Consider the following 16,763-nt stretch of genomic DNA (forward strand, 5'->3'; position numbering starts at 1 on the left):
TCCTTTCAGATTGAAGTACTCTCTTTAGCATTTCTTTTAGGACAGGTCTTATGTTGATGAACTACCTCAGCTTTTGTTTGCTGGAAAAGTCTTTACTTTTCCTCTATGTTTGAAGGATATTTTCACTGGTATGATATTCTAGGATAAAAGATTTTTTTTTAGCAGTTTAAATATATTATACCACTTACTCCTGGCTAGTAAGCTTTCCACTGAGTAATATGTGCTAGACATATTGAAGCTCCTTTATATGTTTTTTTTTTTCTTTTCTCTTTTTGCTTTTAGTATGCCTTATTTATCCTTGACCTTTGGGAGTTTGATTATTAAACATATTGAGGTAGTCTTATTTGTGTTAAATCTGCCTGGTCTCCTATAATCTTCTTGTTCTTGAATATTGTTATCTTTCCCTAGGTTTGGTAATGTCTATTTTTATCCCTATGAATAAGATTTCTAACTCAGCCTCTCTTTACCTCCTCATTAAGGCCAATAACATTTAGATTTGCCTTTTTGAGGCTGTTTTCTAGATCCTATAGAGATGCTTCCTTTTTTTATTCTTTTAACTTCTATCACTGTGTATTTTCAAATAGCCTGTCTTCAAGATCACTAATTTTTTCTTCTCCTGGATTGCTGTTGTGAGATTCTGATATATTCTTTAGTTTTAGTTTGTCAATTGAATTTCTTCAGCTCCAGCATTTCTGCTTAATTCTTTTAAATTATTTCAATCACTTTGTTAAATGTTTCCGATGGGATTCTGAATTCCTTCTCTGTGTTACCTTGGATTTTATTGAGCTTCCTCAACACAGCAATCTTGAATTCTCTGTGTGAAATGTCACATATCTCTGTCACTCCAGAATTGGTCACTGGTACCATATTTAGTTCATTTGGCGATGTCATGTTTTCCCAGATGGTCTTGATGTTTGTGGATGTTTCTTGATGTCTGGGCATTGAAGTTAGTTATTTATTCTAATCTTCATGGTCTGGGCCTGTTTGTACCCATCCTTATTGAGAAGGCTTTCCAAGTATTTAAGGGGAAATAATTCTTGTCATCTAAGTCTTTAGTCATTGCAACCATATATGCATTAGTGGGCACCCCAAGCCCAGTGACACTGTGACTCTTGCAGAGTTGTAGAGTTATTGCCTTTTTCTTGGGTAAGATCCAGTAGAATTCTCAGGATTACTAGGCACAAACTTTTGTTCTCTTTCCCTCCTTTCCCCAAAACAACAGAATTGCCCAGGAATTGCAATTCTTGTAGCCTAGACTGCATTTCTAGTTTATTTAGAACCCCAGAGCACTTTAGATATTAGGTCCTCTTATTTCTCTTACTAAATATAGCACAAAGCCATGTGTTTCTTTCTATTTCTATTGTATCATCCACGGTGGTGGGGCTGGCTGTAGTTCAAATTCTACCACTGGGATACATGAATTATTCCCCCTTGGCTAAGATTGCTTTAAATGCTTCCTCCATGGGTGCTGGCCAAATTCTGCCCAGTGTTATTTTCCACTGTGATGGGACAGCACTGAGTTCCCATGCAGAATCTCACAATAACTTCACTCTCCCTCCCCCAAGCACACAGATTCTCTCTCCATGCCATGCTGTGCTGCCTAGGGATTGAGGAGAGGTGCTGTAGGAAGTTCAAGGCTGTCTTTCCTACCCTCTTCAGTGCCTCTTTCCTTGATATGATGTTAAAATCAGGTATTGTGATTGCCACCTGATTTTTGGTTCTTATGGAGGTTGCTCTTCTGGGGATAGTTATTCAATTTTGTGTTCCTGCTTGGAGAATGAACGCTGGAGGGTTCTATTTGGCCATCTTGTTCCACCTCCCCCTCCTCTTATTTTTCTTGCTCAGTATAGCACAAATCCATTTATTCTGCTCCATTGATATTGTATCATCTTAAGCTGTCTTCTTCATCTTTTGCTTAAAATACTTACTAGCATACTATCTTTCTTGCTTCCACTTTCTGGCTTTCACTCTGTAATCAACTCTTTTCAAAGCAACAAGAGTGATCTTAAATCTAGCTTCTTTAAATACCCTCCTTAAACTTCCATTAGATTTATATAAAATCCATACTTCTTGTAGGTTCATTATGATCTATTATTTTCTATTTATCCAAACTCATATTTTATATTTTCACCACTCCTGTTAATATTATTGCAAATCACAAGCCCCTTCCTGTCCCCAGGTATTTATACTTGTGCTTCACTCTGCCTGCAGTGCTTACTGGTTCTTCACACAGCTCATTTTCTTTAAGGCTCTGCATAAATGTCCAGTCTCCAAAAGGTTTTACCTGACTCTCCTTTCTCATGTTGCCCCTGAACTTAACACAATAAGAACATATTTTGTTTATTTTTATCTTTACTTGTTTGTCTTCTTATAACAAAATATATACCTATAAAGTAGGAAGCTATCTGCCTTATTTGATGCCTAATTTCCAGCAACAAATACAGTGTATAGAACTTAGTAGCACATAATACATGCTTTTTTGCTTGAATAAAGGAAAAATTAATCAGAGTGTTTTTTTAACTCATTTATATCTTTGTGTAGCTTTAATGAAAATTCTAATTAGGCCACAGTACCTTGATGTTGCAGAATACCTTGTAGACTAGCATATTGAAATCCTACTAAGTCCATGACTATGGTTTGATATAAAGAGCATATGATATTGGACATTTAGAAAAATCACAAGAATAATAGAAGCTTACCAAATGCAGTGGCTCATGCCTGTAATTCATTTACTTTGGGAGAATGAGGTGGGAGGATTGCATGAAGCCAAGAGTTCAAGACCAGTCTGAAAAACATAGTGAGATCCCATTGCTACAAAAAATAAAAAATAAAAAAATAGCCAGGCATGTTGGCACATGCCTGAATTCCCAGCTGCTCAAGGGGATTGTGTGAGCCCAGAAGTTTGAGAGTTTGAGGCTGCAGAGGACTATGTTTGCACCACTGCACTCCAGCCTAGGTGACAGAGTCAGACACTCTTGAAAACAAAAATAATGGTAGATGACAACATATTGAGTCTCAAGGGCAGAAAATGGGAATATACAGGCAGCATTAACCCCTATCAATATTTCTATCCTTGTCCTAAACAGGGCTCTCAGAAACAAGCATGGTCCCAGACACCATGCTTGTTTCTGTCGATACCAGCTGTACATTTCTTTGCCTGGTGCAGATATTTCCCAAAATTTCTCTCTAGAGATATTTCACTGGTATGAGCTTGATTTGTAATAAGTATTAAATGAACATATTAAAGGAGTTCTATGAGCATAGAAGATGCCAAAGATAAAAAGTCCTCAGAGATAACAATCTTTAGCTGGCTTGTACCAAGATTGTCCTTACTGTAACACTGCTTTACCTCTTCATTAGGTGACAATCTCAAAGCTAAAACTTCCAAAACCATCAGGGCATATATCAGGTATTTCTTTCTACAATGAAAGTGTTTTGTCTTTGACTGGCCAAAATGAAAAGGAGCTCCTAGCTCATATTGAGGATGTGTTGGAAAACCAACTGGATTCTAAATTCCAGGAATAGTCAAATAATTTCTGTTCTTACATCTTCACCCAGGCAAGGACCAAGACCCTCAGGGAAGGAGTCAATGTCACTGTGAATCGTGAGACTCCTCTTCCAAAATTATATTTCTGTGTGGCTTAATATGTGTTGGATATTTATTACAAAAGTTCTTAAGTAATATTGTTTCATTCTATACAGAAGCATGCATTGACAAATACTCATATCCCAAAGAGAAATGTGTGTGTTTTAGTCACTATCTCCCAACACAGGGATTATAAATTCTTTTCCAAAAGCTCAAATATTATCAGGGACAGTGGAAGCTCCCAGATATGTGAAGACCTCATCATTGATAATAAAATCAGTGACTGGGTATGAAAACAGAATACATGGTCTTCTCAATGGAAGTCCTATAAGATAAGCATTTTTCTTAAGGAGATTATGTGGGAGTTTAGCCATGTTCAAAGCAAACATTAAGTGATGAATCCTTGAGAATGCATGAAAAGAATAGGAAGAGCTCCAGTCTACAGCTCCCAGCATGAGCAACGCAGAAGATGGGTGATTTCTGCATGTCAAACTGAGGTACCAGATTCATCTCACTGGGGAGTGTTGGACAGTGGGTGCAGTGCACTGAGCGTGAGCCAAAGCAGGGTGAGGCATTGCCTCATCTGGGAAGCACAAGGGGTCAGGGAATTCCCTTTCCTAGTCAAAGAAAGTGGTGACAGATGGCATCTGGAAAATTGGGTCACTCCCACCCTAATACTGCATTTTTCTGATGGTCTTAGCAAATGGCACACCAGGAGATTATATCCTGCACCTGGCTCGGAGGGTCCTATTCCCACGGAGTCTCGCTCATTGCTAGCACAGCAGTCTGAGATCACAGTGCAAGGCAGCAGCAAGGCTGGGGGAGGGGCGCCCACCATTGCTGAGGCTTGAGTAGGTAAACAAAGCAGCCAGGAAGCTCAAACTGGGTGGAGCCCACTGCAGCTCAAGGAGGCCTGCCTACCTCTGTAGACTCCACCTCTGGGGTCAGGGCACAGCCAAACAGAAGGCAGCAGAAACCTCTGCAGACTTAAATGTCCCTGTCTGACAGCTTCGAATAGAGTAGTGGTTCTCCCAGCATGCAGCTTGAGATCTGAGAATGGACAGACTGCCTCCTTAAGTGGGTCCCTGACCCCCGAGTAACCTAACTGGGAGGCACCCCTCAGTAGGGGCAGATTGACACCTCACACTGCCGGGTAATCCTCTGAGAACAAAACTTCCAGAGGAACAATCAGGCAGCAACATTTGCTGTTCACCAATATTCGCTGTTCTGCAGCCTCCACTGCTGTTACCTAGGTAAACAGGGTCTGGAGTGGACCTCCGGCAAACTCCAACAGACCTGCAGCTGAGGGTCCTGACTGTTAGAAGGAAAACTAACAAACAGAAAGGACATCCACACCAAAATCCCAACTGTACATCACCATCATCAAAGACCAAAGGTAGATAAAACCACGAAGATGGGGAAAAAACAGAGAAGAAAAACTGGAAAATCTAAAAATCAGAGCGCCTCTCCTCCTCCAAAGGAATGCAGCTCCTTACCAGCAATGGAACAAAGCTGGATGGAGAATGACTTTGACGAGTTGAGAGAAGACTTCAGACTATCAAACTACTCCGAGCTAAAGGAGGAATTTCAAACCCACGGCAAAGAAGTTAAAAACCTTGAAAAAAAATTAGATGAATGGCTAACTAGAATAACCAATGCAGAGACGTCCTTAAAGGACCTGATGGAGCTGAAAACCAAAGCATGAGAACTATGTGACGAATGCACAAACCTCAGTAGCCGATTTGATCAACTGGAAGAAAGGGTATCAGTGATGGAAGATCAAATGAATGAAATGAAGCGAGAAGAGAAGTTTAGAGAAAAAAGAATGAAAAGAAACGAACAAAGCCTCCAAGAAATATGGGATTATATGAAAAGACCAAATCTACATCTGATTGGTGTACCTGAAAGTGACAGGGAGAAAGGAACCAAGTTGGAAAACACTCTGCAGGATATTATCCAGGAGAACTTCCCCAATCTAGCAAGGCAGGCCAACATTCAAATTCAGGAAATACAGAGAATGCCACAAAGATACTCCTCGAGAAGAGCCACTCCAAGACACATAATTGTCAGATTCACCAAAGTTGAAATGAAGGAAAAAATGTTAAGGGCAGCCAGAGAGAAAGCTCAGGTTACCCACAAAGGGAAGCCCATCAGACTAACAGCAGATCTCTCAGCAGAAACTCTACAAGCCAGAAGAGAGTGGGGGCCAATATTCAACATTTTTAAAGAAAAGAATTTTCAACCCAGAATTTCATATCCAGCCAAACTAAGCTTCATAAGTGAAGGAGAAATAAAATACTTTACAGACAAGCAAATGCTGAGAGATTTTGTCACCACCAGGCCTGCCCTAAAAGAGCTCCTGAAGGAAGCACTAAACATGGAAAGGAACAACCGGTACCAGCCACTGCAAAAACATGCCAAATTGTAAAGACCATCAAGGCTAGGAAGAAACTGCATCAATTAATGAGCAAAATAACCAGCTAACATCATAATGACAGGATCAAATTCACACATAACGATATTAACCTTAAATGTAAATGGGCTAAATGCTCCAGTTAAAAGACACAGACTGGCAAATTGGATAAAGAGTCAAGACCCATCCGTGTGCTATATTCAGGAAACCCATCACATGGGCAGAGACACACATAGGCTCAAAATAAAGGGATGGAGGAAGATCTACCAAGCAAATAGAAAACAAAAAAAAGGCAGGGGTTGCAATCCTAGTCCCCGATAAACCAGACTTTAAACCAACAAAGATCAAAAGAGACAAAGAAAGCCATTACATAATGGTAAAGGGATCAATTTGACAAGAAGAGCTAACTATCCTAAATATATATGCGTCCAATGCGGGAGAACACAGATTCATAAAGCAAGTCCTTAGAGACCTACAAAGAGACTTAGACTCCCACACAATAATAATGGGAGACTTTAACACCCCACTGTCAACATTAGACGATCAATGAGACAGAAAGTTAACAAGGATATCCAGGAATTGAACTCAGTTCTGCACCAAGCAGACCTAATAGACATCTACAGAACTCTCCACCCCAAATCAACAGAATATAGATTCTTTTCAGCACCACACCACACCTATTCCAAAATTGACCACATAGTTGGAAGTAAAGCTCTACTCAGCAAATGTAAAAGAACAGAAATTATAACAAACTGTCTCTCAGACCACAGTGCAATCAGAGTAGAACTCAGGATTAAGAAACTCACTCGGCCGGGCGCGGTGGCTCACGCCTGTAATCCCAGGACTTTGGGAGGCCGAGGCGGGCGGATCATGAGGTCAGGAGATCGAGACCATCCCGGCTAAAACGGTGAAACCCCGTCTCTACTAAAAATACAAAAAATTAGCCGGGCGTAGTGGCGCGCGCCTGTAGTCCCAGCTACTTGGGAGGCTGAGGCAGGAGAATGGCGTGAACCCGGGAGGCGGAGCTTGCAGTGAGCCGAGATCCCGCCACTGCACTCCAGCCTGGGCAACAGAGCGAGACTCCGTCTCAAAAAAAAAAAAAAAAAAAAAGAAACTCACTCAAAACCACTCAACTACATGGAAACTGAACAACCTGCTCCTGAATGACTACTGGGTACATAACGAAATGAAAGCAGAAATAAAGATGTTCTTTGAAACAAATGAGAACAAAGACACAACATATCAGAATCTCTGGGACACATTAAAAGCAGAGTGTAGAGGGAAATTTATATCACTAAATGCCCACAAGAGAAAGCACGAAAGATCTAAAATTGACACCCTAACATCACAATTAAAAGAACTAGAGAAGCAAGAGCAAACACATACAAAAGCTAGCAGAAGGCAAGAAATAACTAAGATCAGAGCAGAACTGAAGGAAATAGAGACACAAAAAACCCTTCCAAAAATCAATGAATCCAGGAGCTCGTTTTTTGAAAAGATCAACAAAATTGATAGGCCTCTAGCAAGACTAATAAAGAAGAAAATAGAGAAGAATCAAATAGACGCAATAAAAAATAAAAAAAAGGGGATATCACCACTGATCCCACAGAAATACAAACTACCATCAGAGAACACTATAAACACCTCTACACAAATAAACTAGAAAATCCAGAAGAAATGGATAAATTCCTCGACACATACACTCTCCCAAGACTAAACCAGGAAGAAGTTGAATCTCTGCATAGACCAATAACAGGCTTTGAAATTGAGGTAATAATTAATAGCTTACCAACCAAAAAAAGTACAGGACCAGATAGATTCACAGCCGAATTCTACCAGAGGTACAAGGAGGAGCTGGTACCGTTCCTTCTGAAACTACTCCAATCAACAGAAAAAGAGGGAACCCTCCCTAACTCATTGTATGAGGCCAGCATCATCTTGATACCAAAGCCTGGCAGAGACACAACAAAAAAAAGAGAATTTTAGACCAATATCCCTGATGAACATTATGCAAAAATCCTCCATAAAATACTGGCAAATTGAATCCAGCAGCACATCAAAAAGCTTATCCACCATGATCAAGTGGGCTTCATCCCTGGGATGCAAGGCTGGTTCAACATACACAAATGAATAAACGTAATCCAGCATATAAACAGAACCAACGACAAAAACCACATGATTATCTCAGTAGATGCAGAAAAGGCCTTTGAGAAAATTCAACAACACTTCATGCTAAAAACTCTCAATAAATTAGGTATTGATGAGACGTATCTCAAAATAATAAGAGCTATCTATGACAAACCCACAGCCAATATCGTACTGAATGGGCAAAAACTGGAAGCATTCCCTTTGAAAACTGGCACAAGACAGGGATGCCCTCTCTCACCACTCCTATTCAACATAGTGTTGGAAGTTCTGGCCAGGGCACTCAGGCAGGAGAAGGAAATAAAGGGTATTCAATTAGGAAAAGAGGAAGTCAAATTGTCCCTGTTTGCAGATGACATGATTGTATATCTAGAAAACCCCATCGTCTCAGCCCAAAATCTCCTTAAGCTGATAAGCAACTTCAGCAAAGTCACAGGATACAAAATCAATGTGCAAAAATCACAAGCATTCTTGTACACCAATAACAGACAAACAGAGAGCCAAATCATGAGTGAACTCCCATTCACAATTGCTTCAAAGAGAATAAAATACCTAGGAATCCAACTTACAAGGGATGTGAAGTACCTCTCTAAGGAGAACTACAAACCACTGCTCAGTGAAATAAAAGAGGATACAAAGAAATGGAAGCACATTCCATGCTCATGGTAGGAAGAATCAATATCGTGAAAATGGCCATACTGCCCAAGGTAATTTATACATTCAGTGCCATCCCCATCAAGCTACCAATGACTTTCTTCACAGAATTGGAAAAAAACTACTTTAAAGTTCATATGGAACCAAAAAAGTGCCCACATTGCAAAGTCAACCCTAAGCAAAAAGAACAAAGCCAGAGGCATCACGCTACCTGACTTCAAACTATACTACAAGGCTACAGTAACCAAAATAGCATGGTACTGGTACCAAAACAGAGATATAGACCAATGGAACAGAACAGAGCCCTCAGAAATAATGCCACATATCTACAACCATCTGATCTTTGACAAACCTGATAAAAACAAGAAATGGGGAAAGGACTCCCTATTTAATAAATGCTGCTGGAAAAACTGGCTAGCCATATGTAGAAAGCTGAAACTGCATCCCTTGCTTACACCTTGTACAAAAATTAATTCAAGATGGATTAAAGGCTTAAATGTGAGACCTAAAACCATAGAAACCCTAGAAGAAAACCTAGGCAATACCATTCAGGACATAACCATGGGCAAAGACTTCATGTTTAAAACACCAAAAGCAATGACAACAAAAGCCAAAATTGACAAATGGAATCTAATTACACTAAAGAGCTTCTGCACAGCAAAAGAAACTGCCATCAGAGTGAAAAGGCAACCTACAGAATGGGAGAAACTCTTTGCAATCTACTCATCTGACAAAGGGCTAATATCCAGAATCTACAATGAACTCAAACAAATTTACAAGAAAAAAACAATCCCATCAAAAGTGGGCAAAGTATATGAACAGACACTTCTCAAAAGAAGACATTTATGCAGCCAAAAGACACATGAAAAAATGCTCATCATCACTGGCCATCAGAGAAATGCAAATCAAAACTACAATGAGATACCATCTCACACCAGTTAGAATGGCAATCATTAAAAAGTCAGGAAACAACAGGTGCTGGAGAGGATGTGGAGAAACAGGAACACTTTCACACTGTTGGTGGGACTGTAAACTAGTTCAACCATTGTGGAAGTCAGTGTGGTGATTCCTCAGGGATCTAGAACTAGAAATACCGTTTGACCCAGCTGTCCCATTACTGGGTATTTACCCAAAGAATTATAAATCATGCTGCTCGAAAGACAAATACACACGTATGTTTATTGCGGCACTATTCACAATAGCAAAGACTTGGGACCAACCCAAATGTCTAATAATGATAGACTGGATTAAGAAAATGTGGCACATATACACCATGGATTACTATGCAGCCATAAAAAATGATGAGCTCATGTCCTTTGTAGGGACATGGATGAAGCTGGAAACCATTATTCTCAGCAAACTATCACAAGGACAAAAAACCAAACACCGCATGTTCTCACTCATAGGTGGGAATTGAACAATGAGAACACATGGACACAGGAAGGGGAACATCACACACTGGGGCCTGTTGTAGGGTGGGGTGAGGGGGGAGGGATAGCATTAGGTTATATACCTAACGCTAAATGATTAGTTAATTGGTGCAGCACACCAACATGGCACATGTATCCATATGTAACAAACCTGCACGTTGTGCACATGTACCCTAAAACTTGAAGTATAACAAAAAAAAAAGAATTATGAATACAAATTATCTGAGTTACTTTGCTTCACCTATCTATGTATCCTATTTTTCCCTTAATTTGTGTTAATGTGAAATGATTTTCCCCTGACAACCCTGACTATGTTAAATGAAGGTAGGTATTTACATTTTTAATGTTATGGCCTGGAAAACAATGGAATAAAGAGTAAATGTGGAAATGAAGTGATGATAGCAGAAATAAGTAGGGAGGTGTGTGTGTTTGTGTGTGTGTGTGTGTGTGTGTGTGTGTGTGTGTGTTATTTTAGAATCTTCATCTCATAAACCTGGATCCTATTGAGTTTGAAATTTATATAACTCTCTAGTTCATGTCCTATCAGGGCTGGGGAGTCTGGTGGTAACTTATGTGGATGCCATCAACAGTGGAGCAGTACCTTGTTTGGAGAACACAGTGATGACTCTGGCCCAGCGTGAGAATTCAGTGGCCTTGCAGAGGGCAGCCAACCACTACAGCCAGCAGATGGCCCAGCGAATGAGGTTCCCCACAGACATGCTCCAGGAGCTGCTGGATATGCACACAGCCTGTGAGAGGGAAGCCATTGCAGTCTTCATGGAGCACTCCAGGGGTGAAAACCAGGAATTTCAGAAGAAGCTCATGGTACATTGTCTTAGCATTTTTCCTTCCCATTTTTGGGCCATTTGGAATTATGTCTAGAATTTGACACATTGCTCCCATGGCTTATCACCTATTCATGGTAAAGAAGTGTGAATTCTCATCACAGAGAGAGTTCTAGAGAACTTTGTTTCCTTTATTTTTTAACCACAAAGTTTGGGACTTTTATTCAGGATTGTCTGATCTGTCAAATTCATCATTGCCCATTGCCTCCTCCTATAGTGCATACTGGCATGGTTCCAGAACTCCCCTAAGTCGTTACTTACCTGTTGCTAATCTCTGTGTATGCATCCATTCCTAGAATCTTGATTTTCTGGGATGGAATCCCTTAACATGTTATTGTTTACATTTATTTTGTTACTGAAGATAGAATTACAGGAACACTACAGCTGCTAAGGAACCATGAAGATTACATATTGCAACCTCAGCATTTCCTGGATGAAGAATCTTCAGCACAGGGAAGTTAATAAGCTTTCCCTACGCCTTGCAGAGTGGTTTCAGAGTTGAGAGTAAATTAAGTCTCTTGATTCTTGCTACATTGCCTGTGCTGCTCCACTAAAATGTTCTCAAAAGGACCACAGTTAGACTACCCATCGAATAAGATTGTTTGAAATTTCATCACCACATCCCTTTCTTCTGGTGACTTTCATCTACATTTCCCTTGCAGGAAATCCTAAAGAATAGGAAGGAGGATTTATGGCTGCAGAACGAACAGGCATCTGTTCAATATTGCAGACTAAATTTAATTGTCTCTTAAAGGCTCTAATGGAAAGATTTTCAGCAGGAAGGCTCTATATTCCTGGAGGACACAAACTCCACAAGGAAGCAAAGAAAAGAATCAAATGGGACTATTAGCTAGTGCCCAGAAAAGGAGTTAAGGTGAGTTATATAAGGAGCATGGGAAAGCTTACAGAATAGAGTCAAGGGGATCTCCTGAAAATCTGGAGCACAGTACCAGCTGTGGATAATACACAGAACATGAGGATATATTATACTTTTAGCTTTTAATGGCCACCATTTGTTGTTAATTCCTCAGGAGAGTAGAAATATCAACTCCCAAAAGAAACAGTACAGGGAAAGAGAACAGATTTCTTCATCCAATGTTGTATCAGGCATTCTGTCAAATGCCAGTGATTGACAGGTAATGTTAGAGTATTTGCAGTCAAGTCTGATCAAAGTGAGACAGAATTGAATAAATAGACAATTGCATATAGAGTTATCATGCTTATGGACCTGTGATGCTGGGCTGTCATAATGGAAGTATTAAGCATAATAATAATAATGCAGCCAGGCGCGGTGGCTCACGCCTGTAATCCCAGCACTTTGGGAGGTGAGGAGGGTGGATCACGAGGTCAGGAGATCACGACCATCCTGGCTAACACAGTGAAACCCTGTCTCTACTAAAAAAATACAAAAAGAATAGCTGGGTATGGTGGTGGGCACCTGTAGTCCCAGCTACTTGGGAGGCTGAGGCAGGAGAATGGTGTGAACCCAGGAGGCAGAGCTTGAATGAGCAGAGATGGAGCCACTGCACTCCAGCCTGGGCGACTGAGTGAGACTCTGTCTCAAACTAATAATAATAATAATAATAATAATGCAACTAACATATGTTGAACAATTATTACCTTTGTGGCAGGCATAGTGTTATAGATGTTTTCATTTAATTCTTCAAATAATGTTATGAAGCATCTACTCTTATTTCCCACATTTGATACATGTGAACTGGAAGGCTCAGGTAGCTTAAAGAACTTGCCTAGAGTTACATATCTAACAAGTGGCAGGGGAGAGTAGCAACAGAGTTTGGGGCTGCATTTCATACTGGGTATGTGGTCTAGGAAACCTTCCAGGAAGAAAAGGGTGACAGAAATTTTAAAATGTTTGTACCTTACCTTAGTCTATTCAGGATGCTATAACAAAATACCATAAAGTGGGTGACTTATAAACAATTGATATTCATTTCTTATAGTTCTGAGGCTGAGAAGGCAAAGACCAAGGCACCAGCAGGTTCAGCGTATGATGAGGGTGCACTTTCTGGTTCATAGACAGCACCTTCTTTCTGTGTCCTCACATGGTGCAAGTGAACTCTAGTCTCTCAGCCCCTTACAGGGGCATTACTCTAATTCATGACAGCTCCACACTCAGGACCTAATCACTTCCCTAATGCCCCACTTCTAATGCCATCACCCTGGGAATTAGTGTTCAACATATGAATTTGGGAGGACACATATATTCAGACCATAGTGTACATGTTGTACAGATTGAGATGCCATCCAAGAGAACAAGCCCCAGATAAACATGCAAATATATAAAAGCATCAGAGATTTTGGATTGCACAATTGGACATAGTTCTGACTGGCTCGTACCTAGAGCAGGTGGAAGGAAGTAGTACAGGGAGTAGAACAGGAGGAAGACAAGAAGCAGAAGACCGGGTTGGTCTCTCATCACACTAAGGAGCTATCATGAATTATAAGGGATTCCTGAAGCATTATAAGCAGAAAAAAAAAATGACATGGATGAACCTGTTTGTAGAGAACAAATCTTCCTAGTGGAAATCTAAGTTCTTTGCTCCATCTTGTTTCTTCAGGCAAATAAGTTCCTTCAGCATTTCCTGAAGTCACAGTTGGCAATGGAGGAATGCATCCTGCAGGCTGATAAAGACCTGAACTATAGTAGTCAATCCACAATCCCTGCAGGAAAGCTTAAGGGATAATGCCCATGAACCCTAATAAAGGCATAGTCCCACAGGTCTTCTCTGTTTCTTGCTTTCTTTCCCCCAGCTCACTGGTTGAGTTCTCTGCCACTTCCAGACTTCCCATCTGACTCCTAATAGTGGCCTATCCTCTCTGTGGTCTGTAAGTAATACATTTCCCCTGTTTTATGCACTTTGGTTCCACCTCCTCATTACATCTTACTTCCCTGATATACCCAAACCCAACTCCCCACTACCTTCAACCCACTGAGGGCTCTCCTAGAGAGTGGCTATCTTGGCTTATGACTACTCTCAACAGAGAATAGTCAAGGTCAAATTAGAGAGAAACCAAACAACAAAAATCAGAGAGAAAGCAGAGCAAGATGGTCAGTTTGAACCCTCCAGAGACCATTACCCCTACCTAGCAACACCAAATTAAACAACTATCCACACAAGAAAGCACCTTCAAAAGAACCAAAAATCATGTGAATGATCGCAGTGCCTGGTATTAAAATCATATCAAGGAAAAAGACACTGAAGAGGGTAGGAATGATAGTCTTTAACTGCTGACATCAACCTTTCCCCATTCCCAGCAGTGGCCATGTGGCACAGAGAGAGAATCTATGTGCCTGTGAAAGAGAGAATACACACAGCCCTAAAGAAAAGGACAAAAGCCTGGCTGGATTTGTCACCAGCAGACTGAAGAGCCCTTGGGCCTTGTGTGAACATCAGCAGTAACCAGACAGTAGTTGCTGCAAGTCTTGAGCAAGATTCAGTACTATGCTGGCTTCAGGTTTGACCCAGTGCAATCCTGGTGGTGGTGATAAGGATGTTTGTGTCACCCTTCCCACAACTCCAGACAGCTCAGCATGGAAAGAGATATTCCATTTGTTTGGGAAAGTAAGAGAAGAGAACAAAAGTCTTTGCTGGGTAATCCATGAAATTGTACTGGATCTTACCTAAGACCACCAAAGCAGTGATGAAGGAGTTTTCTCTTGACCCCTTTGTTGGATTTGCACCAGGGGTGCCTGATATGGTTTGGCTGTGTCCCCACCAAAATCTCAACTTGAATTCTATCTCCCAGAACTCCCATGTGTTCTGGGAGGGACAAAGGGGGAGGTAAATCATGGAGGTCTATCTTTCCAGTGCTATTCTCATAATATGAATAAGTCTCATGAGATCTGAAGGGTTTATCAGGGGTTTTTGCTTTTGCTTCCTCCTCATTTTCTTTTGCTGCCTCCATGTAAGAAGTGCCTTTTGCCTCCCGCCATGACTCTGAGGCCTCCCCAGTCATGTGGAACTGTAAGTCCAATTAAACCTCTTTTTCTTCCCAGTCCCGGGTATGTCATTATCAACAGCATGAAAATGGACTAATATAGTAAAGTGGTACCAGTATAGTGGGGTGTTGCTGAAAAGATACCCCAAAATGTAGAAGTGACTTTGGAACTGGGTAACAGGTAGAGGTTGGAACAGTTTGGAGGGCTCAGAAGTAGACAGAAAAATCTGGGAAAGTTTGGAACTTCCTAGAGACTTGTTGAATGGCTTTGCCCAAAATGCTGATAGTGATATAGACAATAAGGTCCAGGCTGAGGTGGTCTCAGAGGAACTCAGAGGAGATGAGGAACTTGTTGGGAACTGGAGTAAAGGTGATTCTTGTTATTTTTAGCAAAGAGGCTGACAGCATTTTCCCAATGCCCTAGAGATTTGTGGAACTTTGAACTTGAGAGAGATGATTTAGGGTATCTGGTGGAAGAAATTTCTAAGCAACAAAGTATTCAAGAGGTGACTTGGGTACTGTTAAAGGCATTCAGTTTTATAAGGGAAACAGAGCATAAAAGTTTGGAAACCTTGCAGCCTGACTATGTGATAGAAAGGAAAACCCCATTTTCTGGGGAGAAATTCAAGCCTGCTGCAGAAATTTGCATAAGTAGCAAAGAGCCTAATGTTAATTCCCAACACCATGGGGAAAATGTCTCCAGCCCATGTCAGAGACCTTCAGAGCAGCCCCTCCTGTCACAGGCCTGAAGGCCCAGGAGGAAAAGTGGTTTCTTGGGCCAGGCCCAGGGTCCCAGTGCTGTGTGTAGCCTAGGGACTTGGTGCCCTGTGTCCCAGCCACTCCAGCTGTAGCTGAAAGGGGCCAACATACAGCTTGAGCTGTGGATTCAGAGGGTGGAAGGCTCAAGCCTTGGAAGCTTCCACATGGTGTTGAGCCTGTGGGTGCCCAGAAGTCAACAATTGAGGTTTGGGAACCTCCACCTAGATTTCAGAAGACGTATGGAAACTCCTGGATGCCCAGGCAAAAGTTTGCTGCAGGGGTGGGGCCCTCATGGAGAACCTCTTCTAGGGCAGTGCAGAAGGGAAATGTGGGTTCAGAGCCACCACACAGAGTCCCTACTGGGGAACTGCCTAGTGGAGCTGTGAGAAGAGGGCCACTGTCTTCCAGACCCCAGAATGGTAGATCCACTGACAGCTTGCACTGTGCACCTGGAAAAGCCACAGACACTCAACACCAGCCAATGAAAGCAGCCAGAAGAGAGGCTGCACCCCGCAAAACCACAGAGGTGGGGCTACCCAAGACCATGGGGACCCACCTCTTGCATCAGCATGACCTGGATGTGAGATCTGGAGTCAAAGGATATCATTTTGGAGCTTTAAAATTTGACTGCCCTGCTGGATTTTGGACTTGCATGGGCCCTTTTTCCCCTCTATTTTGGCCAAATTTCTCCCATTTGGAACAGCTGTACTTATCAGTCCCTGTACCCCACTATATCTAGGAAGTAACTAGATTGATTTTGATTTTACTGGCTCATAGGCAGAAGGGACTTGCCTTGTCTCAGATGAGACTCTGGACTGTGGACTTTAAGGTTAATGCTCAAATGAGTTAAAACTTTGGAGGACTTTTGGGAAGGCATGATTGGTTTTGAAATGTGAGGACATGAGATTTAGAGGGGCCAAGGACAGAATGATATGGTTTGGCTGTGTCCCCACCAAAATCTCAACTTGAAT

At 41.4% G+C, this 16,763-nt stretch overlaps 1 annotated feature.

Annotated features, from left to right (window-relative positions):
* Nucleotides 16,036-16,536: an enhancer, noted in NCBI's record as "H3K27ac hESC enhancer chr1:89802881-89803381 (GRCh37/hg19 assembly coordinates)". NCBI's record gives its function as "activates a minimal SCP1, AML or CMV promoter by ChIP-STARR-seq in primed H9 embryonic stem cells {active_cell/tissue: H9 hESC(primed)}" and the evidence as "EXISTENCE:reporter gene assay evidence [ECO:0000049][PMID:30033119]".

The sequence above is a fragment of the Homo sapiens genome, chromosome 1 (genome assembly GCF_000001405.40).
Source record: "Homo sapiens chromosome 1, GRCh38.p14 Primary Assembly".
Taxonomy (NCBI): domain Eukaryota; kingdom Metazoa; phylum Chordata; class Mammalia; order Primates; family Hominidae; genus Homo; species Homo sapiens.